The 10,449-nt window shown below is 57.0% G+C and overlaps 4 annotated features.

The window, feature by feature from the left end:
- Positions 2,991 to 3,570: an enhancer, noted in NCBI's record as "H3K27ac-H3K4me1 hESC enhancer chr17:17254745-17255324 (GRCh37/hg19 assembly coordinates)". NCBI's record gives its function as "activates a minimal SCP1, AML or CMV promoter by ChIP-STARR-seq in naive H9 embryonic stem cells {active_cell/tissue: H9 hESC(naive)}" and the evidence as "EXISTENCE:reporter gene assay evidence [ECO:0000049][PMID:30033119]".
- Positions 3,835 to 4,129: an enhancer, noted in NCBI's record as "tiled region #4579; HepG2 Activating DNase unmatched - State 4:PromP, and K562 Activating DNase matched - State 5:Enh". NCBI's record gives its function as "activates a minimal TATA promoter and a strong SV40 promoter by Sharpr-MPRA in HepG2 and K562 cells {active_cell/tissue: HepG2 | K562}" and the evidence as "EXISTENCE:reporter gene assay evidence [ECO:0000049][PMID:27701403]".
- Positions 6,496 to 6,996: an enhancer, noted in NCBI's record as "H3K4me1 hESC enhancer chr17:17258250-17258750 (GRCh37/hg19 assembly coordinates)". NCBI's record gives its function as "activates a minimal SCP1, AML or CMV promoter by ChIP-STARR-seq in naive H9 embryonic stem cells {active_cell/tissue: H9 hESC(naive)}" and the evidence as "EXISTENCE:reporter gene assay evidence [ECO:0000049][PMID:30033119]".
- Positions 6,997 to 7,497: an enhancer, noted in NCBI's record as "H3K4me1 hESC enhancer chr17:17258751-17259251 (GRCh37/hg19 assembly coordinates)". NCBI's record gives its function as "activates a minimal SCP1, AML or CMV promoter by ChIP-STARR-seq in naive H9 embryonic stem cells {active_cell/tissue: H9 hESC(naive)}" and the evidence as "EXISTENCE:reporter gene assay evidence [ECO:0000049][PMID:30033119]".

Here is a 10,449-nt window from a genome sequence, read left to right on the forward strand (position 1 = left end):
CCACCTTAGGGAGGGAGGACCCCTCCAGGCTCCATCACCCCAGCTTAGGGAGGGAGGACCCCTCCAGGCTCCATCACCCCAGCTAAGGGAGGAAGGACCCCTCCAGGCCCCATAACCCCAGCTTAGGGAGGAAGGACCCTTCCAGGCTCCATCACCCCAGCTTAGGGAGGGAGGATCCCTCCAGGCTCCGTCACCCACCTTAGGGAGGGAGGACTCCTCCAGGCTCCATCACCCCAGCTTAGGGAGGAAGAACTCTAGGCTTGGCCAAAGGCAGATCTCCACGGCACCCCCACCCCCTTACCCGCTGAACTGACATTTTTCTTTGGGGTGAAGGGGAGAGGCTGAACCAGGAATATATTTGGGGTTGCATCACATGATCTGAAACCATCTGGTCCAGGCAGGGTGGTGGTTGGAAGAGTCCTGGCTGTCTTGCCACATGGCTCTGGAGGGAAGTCTGACCCTGGGGTGCTGGCTGCCCAGCTGCTCCTGAGTCCCTCTGCCTCTTCCTGCTGTCTGAGGTCTCACCTGTGGGGCCCTGAAAGTCCCTCCTCATGAAGGGCCAGGAGAATGTGTGATGTGCAACTCCTTTCTTGTCCCCAGCAGGGCCTGTCCACCTGCTCCACGCCCTGTCCTGAGAGGGACTGCCCCATCAGAAGACTCGAGTCACAGGGACTCTCCTGGGGCCAGCCACACCCTGAAAACATTGTGACTATAGCTTGGGGTGCAGAAAACAACTTGGCTTGTTTCCATCCTGGGGGTCCTTCTGATGACAGAAACTCAATCCTGTCCAGATTTTCTCAGCCACATCCTGGTTTCTCCCTCCCTCCTCCTGCCCAGGGAGAGCCCCGGGCCTGGGGGCTGACTTGGTGCAGGGGTGTGGGTCGGGTTGCTGAGAGCAGTGTTCACGGACCCCGAGGGAGCTGTGGAGGGGCCCTGAGGCCTTCTGTCCACAAAGAGGGGAGCAGGGCCTGGTGGGGTACCACTGGGGGACATTCCCTCCTGCCTCTTACACCAGCCAGGGAATCTTTGTTGAGTCTAGGGCAGGGCAGGGCTGGGCAGTCTCCGTCAGCTCCTAACCAAGCATCCGCAAGAGTAACATGCTCTGAATCCTTCAGGAGACGGACTGTTGCGAAACCTTTTAGACTGATAATTGCCATCAGTTTTAAAGGTCAGTTTAGGAACTCCATGCTCCAAATTGCCACATTTGTTCTCTGCTGTTATCATCACTCACCCCGAGGTGGGCAGCTGCTTCAGCCACATAATTTATTTAAAGAAAAAAAAATAATTGCAGGGGCAAAAATGTTTCAGAACATGACCCCACCCGACGGTCTCAAAGCAACTTGCTGTGACGTTAACAAGCACTTCGAGGGGTGCCTGGGGCTGCCGAGGCACTGTGGAGCAGCAGGAGGAGGCCCCGGGGGCCTCAGGTCCCAGCACGGTCTCCTATGTGGAAGAAGGGGCCAGCCCCTGGCTGAGACGCCCTGCAGAGACCCAGGGCTGGGGGGAGCTTGCTGAGGTGGAAATGGGAAGCAGGCGTTGATGAGTGAGGTGCCGTCTGCACCTGGATGCTCAGCCGGCTGCTGCCGTCCCCATTGCACTGACCTTGGCTGAGACCCCAAATTCATGATCGTGTCAACAGTCTCCTGATTGAGGCCAGGCGCAGTGGCTCACGCCTGTAATCCCAAAACTTTAGGAGGCTGAGGCAGATGAATCAGTTGAGGCCAGGAGTTCGAGAGCAGCCTGGCCAACATGGTGAAACCCTGTCTCTACTAAAAATACAAAAATTAGCTGGGCGTGGTGGCGGGCGCCTGTAATCCCAGCTACTCGAGAGGCTGAGGCAGGAGAATCGCTTGAACCCGGGAGGCAGAGGTTGCAGTGAGCCAAGATCGCGCCACTGCACTCTAGCTTGGGTGGCAGAGAAAATTCCATCTCAACAACAAAAAAATTCTGATTGAAATGAAGGTCACTTTCTTGAAAGCTTGGGAAGCTTGTGTTTTGCCTCAGAACCAGTTTTTGAACCCCAGAAAAGAAGATCCACCCCCGTTAGGAGAGCTAGGCCTGGTTCTGCCCCATGGCACATCAGCTCTATCCCTCCCTTATCCACCAGGCTGGCCTCTCAGTGACTCAGCTCTCGGTGAAAGTTGTGATTCATTTGAAAATATTGGAAAGATTCAGAGCTCTAGGACCAGAGCCCCTGGAAGGGGTGACATCCCCCAGGTGGAGAGGGCGCTGGGAAAGCAGGTTTGTGGAGCATGTAGGAATCGTGGCCGCACGCTCAGGTATGTGGGGAATGTGCCCCTGTTTCTCTGTCCTGCCAGAGGGTGGAGGAATCTGACTCCCCTACCTGCTCTTCAGCAGCGGGGCCTCCAGCAGGGGGGCCTCTAGCAGAGGGGCCTTGTCATTGTCCCCATGCTGCTCCCCCTTGGCCCTTCATCCCTGTCTGTGCAGGGTGTCCATCTGTCCTCGGTGAGGGGCCACTGCTGCCTGGCCTCGCCCCCACCCTGGGGACCCTGCTGAGGATGGGAACACTGCTCCTGGCCCTCAGACCTCTCTGGGGTTTGTGGTTCCCCGAGCCTGGGGTTCTGACCAGGGGTGGGCTGACCACAGGTCACCTTCTGAGGGACCCCTGGTATCTCCTGCATGGACTCCTCGAGTGCCTGAGCCCAGGGGGAGAGCAGCCTGGGCCTGTCCAGGGCTCACTGGCCCAGGTTCCCCACCCTAGGCCAGCTCTTCTTGACACATGTAGGCTGTGAGTCCTCACCCCGTGGGGTCGTCAGGCCAGATGAGGCCATGCATGTGAGGAAAGCTTCTGATCCTTCTCCAGTCCACGGCAGTGCCATTCCCACCTGTGGGGGGGAGGAGGCAGGCTCGGGAGGTGCAGTTACGTTCCCGAGGCCATGCGGCGTTCGACCTGGGTCAGCCTTGCTCAGTGTTTCTCAGGAGGCCCTCCTTTTGTCCACGTGGCCTTTTCCTCAGACGTTTTTGTGAAGGACGATGTGGCAGAGCCCTTCTGGCTGGGCCCTCTACCCGTCTCCACCCCAGAGGGCCCAGGGACTGCGCAAGCTGCTGATGGGGACCCCCACACTGAGCGGGGTGTCCCATGCCTAGGAAGGACAGATTCCTTGGCCAGCGTTGCTGAGCCTCTGTCCTGTCACTCACCCCCTTCCAGGCTCCGAGGGATGTGAGGACTTCAGACCACACACTTCCCAGGGCACATGTGTCGCTGGGGATCCCTCATCAGTCCATTTGCACCTGTGCTGTGGGGAGCCGGTCTCTGCTGCACTTGGGCAGCCCGCCCCGGCGGAGGGCAACCCCTTAATGAGCCTTAGCAGGTGGCATGTGGGCCAGCGTGTCCCAGCACGAGACGTTCTTGTGCTGGGTCCCTTCAGCTTTAGCCTCAGTGGGCAATTGGCCCAAGTCCCTGGCTGCTTCCCCACTGCAGCCCCTACCCAGCTTGGGTGGGGTCCTCACTGCCCACCCCGCCCCCCGCCACCTTGGCCCCCTTCCAGGTTCCAGACTTCCACTTGCGTGTGTCAGAAACGCAGCTCAAACCCACCCATGTGCACGTGCGCAAAGCTCGTTGGCCTGGGAGGCCCAGGGCACGCTCACCCCCAGGGGGTCACACAGTCTGACCAGGCTTTCGCGTCCTTCCTGCTCTCTCACTGCACTGTCCGCTTCTGCTTCCCAGCCTGTGGACGCTCCCTGGAGGGCAGAGCAGCTGGCACACCATGCCCATGCTCTGAGCGAGCAGCTGAGCTCTGGCCCACAGTGGTTGCAGATGATGTCGTAGAAAGGGCCCAGAAATAGCGAGGGGTGGTGGTGGCGGCAAACCTGGCAGCAGAGCCTGTGACAAGTGCAGTGACGCCTCACAGCGGGCTCAGGGGGTGGGTGGCCTGGTCTGAAGTCACCATAAGCAGAACAGGCTTCGCACCAGGACATCCGGGTCAATAACAGCCGGCCCCAGGCTGGCGATGACTCATGTTGGAGGGGCTATGGCCAGTGCCGTGGAGGACAGGCGTGGGAGCAGTCTCACCAGATTAAGTTTACTTCCAGCATTTGGGTCTAAACCCTCCAATGAACAGATGGGCTGGGGATGTGGCCTGTTTGCCGCAGGCGACAGAGGCTGCTGTGTGGCGAGTACTGCGGCAGGGCCTGCTCTGCGTCCCGTGCACCCTGGGGTGGCACTAATGGCACTTTTCAGCCCTCGGGTTCCATCACGTGGTCTTCTTACATGGGCTGCTGGGTGGTCACGGGGCGGGGGGTCACATGACTCTGTAAAATGTGTCCTCATTCACGAGGGGCCCAAATGCTGGGGAGGGAGGGAGGCCTGGGGCAGCCCAGCCAGGCAGGGAAGCTCGGCGGCAGGAGCCGCAGCCCAGGGCAGAGGAAGGGTGGCTGTCCCCCCAACTCCCTTCCCAACCCCCCTGCAGACCTCTATGCTCTGCTTCTATGCCTGAGCTTTAGTGGGGGTGTTTTTTTAAATTGCAAAATGGACATTTTAAGGGCATCTCTCTCTGAGTGTCCGGCATATAGATGCGGCTCAATGGATGGCAGCCGGGATGAGGATGACGAAGCAGAGATGAAGGGGGCACATGTGTGTGCACCATACACACACACCCGAAGTGGTGCGGACTGGAGCCCTCCAGGCTGGCCTCGGGCTTGAAGGCAGAAAGACCATGGGGTTTCTTTAGTTTTCTGGGTCAGGATTCCCCATTTGTTGGGACCACATCAAGCATCAATCTGACAATAGCTGTTTCCTTAGTGCTTACTGTGTCCCGCCACTGTGATCAGCACATTTCACAGCCACAGAACCACCCTCTGGAGCTGTTCCTGGTTAGGGATGGCACGAACCATCTCTGTGTGGCCAGGCCTGCTGGGGCTGCCCTAGGCGGTGGCCATGCTGGGGCTGCGCTTGTGGCCTCCTGGCACTGTCGTCTGGCCTGGCATTCTCTTGGGGCCCAGGTGTTCCTGGGTAAAGCAGGGCCTGGGGTCAGGAGCTGGGCTTCCATCCGAGGTGGGTGCCAGATGCTCAGCTTGCAGCAAAACCACAGGACAGGCAGAAAGGGTCAGGCCAGAGCAGGCCAATTCTTAGAGGCCAGAGGGGCAGGCCCAGCCACTGAGGTGGCCTCAGTTGTCAGTCTTGGGGCCAAGGAGGGTGAGGAGAAGGGGATATGAGCGAATTGATCTTCCACCGTGTGACTGGCCTGGCGCTTACATATGCAATGGAGACAGCACTTTGTAGACAACTCCTGTTGCCTCAGTTTTCTTCCCTGCACTCCTGCCAATCAGGCCAAGTGATGACCCCCACCACCCCATGGGAAGGTAGGGCAGGTGTCATCCAGGACAGGAAGTCCATGGGGTAGGGAGGAAGGAGATGACCTGGGGAAAGGTCCCACTAGACTGTAATCTGCCCCTGGTCCTAGGTGGGAGGAGAGCCTCGGAGGGGCCACGCTGTTGGAGGATGAGCCAGGGCCCTGGGAAGTGACCCCCATTTGTCTTGGTTCAATAGTAGTTGTATGTGTTGGGGGGTATGAGCAAGAGAACAGGAATCCCACAGAAACCCCAGCTGGTGAGGGGCTGGTTCTGCATGGCATGAGAGAGGTTGAGCAGGTGAGCCCCAGGTAGAGCCCCAAGGCCCCCTGCTCTTCCTCAGCCTGGAAAGGAAAAATCCAGGGGATTCTGTGTGCTTGTGGAGGAACCACGGTCAAGAACTTTGGTGGGCAACTGCCTGCTTGGCGAAGTGAGCTGGGGCTGAGGGCTGCGGGGGACCATGCGGTCTGGGGTCAGATGGGAGCTGCAGCCAGACCTGAGGGGCTCAGAGCACCCCTGGGGCCCAGGCTGGGCCTCAGGAGCAGGCCCCTCGCCGAGCTTCAGGAGCTTCAGCAGGCAGGGCGGAGGCCCACCCGGCGAAACAAGGCAGCACGGCCAGGCCCTGAAGCAGAAGCCAGCTCCTGGATCCAGATGTGCCCGTGGCAGGGAAGGAAATGAGGGAGACCCTCTCAAGCACAGAGGGATCATCAGCCCCTCCAGGGCATGGAAACTTTGAACGACTCAATGCTTCCCCGAAAGAGCCTGAGTTCAACCAAAGACCGCTTTAATGGAAAGACTGAGTTCATTTTAATTGGCAATTAAAAAAAGTGATTAGTTGTAGTTAATAGGGAACAGTTATTTGCACATCTGAGTTTTTGCATGTGCACCCGATTCTGTTACACCTGCGCCTCATTTAACCCTTCCTATACCCTGCATCATGGTGTCAACCCCAGGAAACCAGGACTCAGAGAGGCTCATTGGCAAGCCCCAAGCCACACAGCAAGCAAGGCTGGGGTGGGAGCTCAGCCCCCAGAGTTTGCTTCAGAGGAGAGAGGGACAAGGAGTCTGCAGGACAGGGCCTGGCGCTGCCATCGACTTGCTGTGTGACTGTTCTCTGAGCCGACTTCCTCTGCTGACAAATGAGAGTGGGTCAGCATCCATGAGAAAGGGTTGAAGGAAATAGGGACATTTATTCCAGAATGTTGCTGCTTGATTGAGGGAACTGACTTCATCTGTAAAGCAAGGCGGTGGGCTCAGGGGAGGGAGTCCTAAATGGGGAAGAGGGGCCTTCCACAGGAACTTGGAGTCCTTCCAGGGACATTGTCCTGGTGTGGCCACCAGGTGGCAGCACAGCCCCCTTCAAATGACTGCTCGCGCGTGCTTATGATGGGGCGTGCATGGGTACAGGCAGCTGTGGGGAAAGAAGGGGGAAGGGCCCCATTCCCTACCTGCTCTTCTTGCCCTCCTGGGCCAGCTCTTCTTCCCCTTACGCCCCGGGCTGCTGTGGACAAATGTCTGATGGGCCCAGGGCGCCAGCCAGACTGAGGACCCGTGAGCAGCCTACCAGGGTAGGGGGCTCACCCTTGACCAGCAGAAACCTTCTTGTCCCCAGCCACAAACCTCAAGCATGCACTACCAGCAAGACCTTAAGGAGGCCTGAAGAGGAAAGTCGCTCTGCTTCCAAGCCAGGGCTTTGTGCAGGTTTCAGCTGGGCCTCGGGCTGCACCTCTAGCCCACCCACAGCTCCCTGTCACGTTGGGGATGAAGTGGGATCTCCTTAGCTTAGCACTGGAAGAAGACCCTTCAGGACCTGGCCCTCCCCATCTCCCCGGCGCTCGGGGCTCCTGGGGCTCTTCGCATGCCTCTCTCCTGCGGCTTTGCACCTGCCGCTCACCTGTCTTTACCGGCGCTTTCTGCACAAGCCCTGGCTCTGACTTCCCTGCAGCAGGGAGGCAGTGTGGGCTGTGTCAGCAGCAGCTTTTGCAGTGTTACCTTTATCCAGAGCTGCCCAGGCCTGGGGGGCTAGGCTGAGGGTGCCCTGCGGCTTTGGAGAGGGAGAGGCTGGGTCTTCACGCGCTACAGTCCAAAAAAGACTCTTTTCCTCTGGGCTCTTACAGGCCCTAAGCCAGTTTATGCCAGGGCTGTAACAAGATGACTCTTAAGGGTAGAAATATGTACAAATAGTAGCCAAATTGCCTGTTCAGGAATCGTCTCTGCCCAGTTGGCAATTTGGATAAAATTACAAAAAAAAAAAAAAAGTCCTTGATTAGATTTGGCAAGGCTGGCTTGTACTCACAGGTCGGGGCCTAAAGGAACCCAGCAATAATCAGTCTCCTTAAAATTTAGAAAGAAGCAGGGCTGAGGAGATGCAAACAGGCTGTGGGCAGAAATCTTGTATTCTCACCCTGGTTTTCTGCTACTCCTGGTAGTTTTGGCTCCTTGGAGAATGATCAGGCAGTGGTGTGGGGCTGCAATTCACACAAATGGCCACTGGATGATGCCAGAGGACCGGCTCTGGATGCTTAAGTCCTCACTGCCTCCCTGGAGGGACCTCTCTTGGGGCCTGCAGTCACCACCCAGACCAGACCTGCCCCATGTTCTGGTCCCATAAGGATGTTCCTAATGATCAGCATCTCTTTCTGACCCCAGGCACGTTCTGGAAGCTCCTGTGGGCAGGCCCTGGGGGCCTCAACCACTTGGTTGGCCGGGGGGCAAGATGAATCACCAGAGCTGTGACTTCACCTAAAAGAGCAAAGTGCTGTGGGCATTTGAGGCCTCAGAGACAGACTGGGGGGTGGCTGGGGTTTTGCGCAGGCCTGGCTAGGAGGAAGGCAGGTGCCCAAAGACATCCATGGGTCCCTGTTCTCATGGTAGGTTCCATTTGCTGCAGGCCCCTCCCATGGTCCCAGCACTGAGCGCCCACACACGCCAGAGGTTGCAAGCTGGCAGCCCTCAGAAGCACTTTGGCGGCTCACTGTATTTTTTCAGGGTACTTTTATATCCTCCACCGCAAGTCCTCAGAAGGTGGGCACAGACGGCTGGGCTGGTTGGGCAGTAACCTGACTAAGCATCCTGCCCCAGGATTCAGTCCCCCCGCCCTCAGACCCAGCCCTGGTCCCAGGTTTGTCACCTCCTGGCCCCCTATGGCATTTGAGACCCTGACCTCTGCCTAAACAAAGCAGACGATGGTTTTCCCTGACATTCCCACACCTCACCTTGGTCTGTCTTTCCCGCCTGCCCCCACCTCCAGCCTGAATCTCTTCCTTCCCTCACCACTTATTTCAAGCCTGTTCTTCCTTGAAGGCCCTGCCCGCCTGTCCCTTCCGCCAAAAGGTCCCCGACGACTCCAGCCCCCCGGGTAGTCTATCTCTTCTGTCCCCTACAGGACTCACTGCCTAGACTGCTAACTGCAAACAGACACCAGGGAAGGAGTTGACTTTCTACGGCGGTGGCAAGGGAGAAATGGGGAGAGGATCCTACATATATTGAGCAGATGCCAGACACTTCATCACGTCATGAATCCTGGTGAGGATGAAATAAGGTCCACATAGACGTTTTCTTTGTTTTTGAGATGGAGTCTCACTCTATCGCCCAGGCTGGAGTGCAATGGTGCCATCTCTGCTCACCACAACCTCAGCCCCTCCCAAGTTCAAGCGATTCTCCTGCCTCAGCCTCCCAAGTAGCTGGGACTACAGGTGTGAGCCACCACGCCTGGCTAATTTTTGTATTTTTAATAGAGACAGGGTTTCACCATGTTGGCCAGGCTGTTCTTGAACTCCTGACCTCAGGTGATCCACCTGACTCGGCCTCCCAAAGTGCTGGGATTACAGGCATGAGCCACAGCGCCCAGCCCACATAGACTCTTTCTTTCTTTCTTTCTTTCTTTTCTGAGACAGTCTCGCTCTGTCGCAAAGGCTGGAGTGCAGTGGCACGATCTTGGCTCACTGCAAGCTCCGCCTCCCAGGTTCACACCATTCTCCTGCCTCAGCCTCCTGAGTAGCTGGGACTACAGGTGCCCGCCACCAGGCCCGGCTAATTTTTTGTATTTTCAGTAGAGACGAGGTTTCACTGTGTTAGCCAGGCTTGTCTCGAACTCCTGACCTCAGGTGATCCACCCGCCTTGGCCTTCCAAAGTGCTGGGATTAGAGGTGTGAGCCACCGTGCCTGGCCTAGACTCTTTCAATTCTGTGAAAAGTCATGCTGAGAAGGTGCAGTCCAGGCTCAGCTTGACTCCAGGGCTGATGCCCAGCACCTCAGGCTGCAGAGATTAAGATGCCCAGAGGCATGCAAGAAATAGAAAGGGATGGGGTAGCAGGTGACTCACACTGAAGCCTCCCCCATCATCCCAAATCCTCTAAGGGGACAAAAAATATGTTTTTAAAATTCACAACCACATTGAAAACAAGACTGGTGCGCTTGGTTGACCAGACACTATGCTGAAGGCCTTAAAGGCAGAAGAGGCTGGGGCCAATGGTGGGAGGGGGCTGGCTGCTGCGAAAAGTTGGGGCCACTGTAGGCCCCTGGGCCCTGATGGGATGATTGTTCAAGGTACTCAGTAGGAGCCACAGGTGAATTCAACCCTCTTCCTGACCACCACCACCACACACACACACACACACACACACACACACCCAGACCAAGCAGATAACACAGGTATCTGTGTTTTGAGGGAGTGGTCATCAGAAGTAATGTGAGTGCAAGGCTTGAAGGGGCAGGCACTGTCCTGGAAGGCTGGTGTGTTTAGGGAGAATGGAGGCCCCCATGCACAGAACATTAGGTAGTGGCTGGTGGTGCATTCTGCTACCCCACGAGTGGGGCAGGCTGTGGGAGAGAGCTGTGATGCTTGCAGATTGGCTAACCATGAACTTCAGACACAGAGATGAGCCTGTGAATGACAGGCAGCAAACTCCTCAATGAGAGAATTGACACCCAAGGAAAGGGAGTTAAGGCACCAGGATGAGGACTTAGAAAGGTGTACTCAGTATCCCTGGAGAGATGGGATAGGCTATTGGATCCCCAAAAAAATCAACTAGAGAATCTAGAAAGTTAAAATCTGGTCATTGAAAAAACTCCATAAATGGGATGAATAGCAGAATGGACACAGCTGACGAGCAAAGAAATGAGTAAGAGGATTGAGTT

Source organism: Homo sapiens, chromosome 17 (genome assembly GCF_000001405.40).
Source record: "Homo sapiens chromosome 17, GRCh38.p14 Primary Assembly".
Classification (NCBI taxonomy): domain Eukaryota; kingdom Metazoa; phylum Chordata; class Mammalia; order Primates; family Hominidae; genus Homo; species Homo sapiens.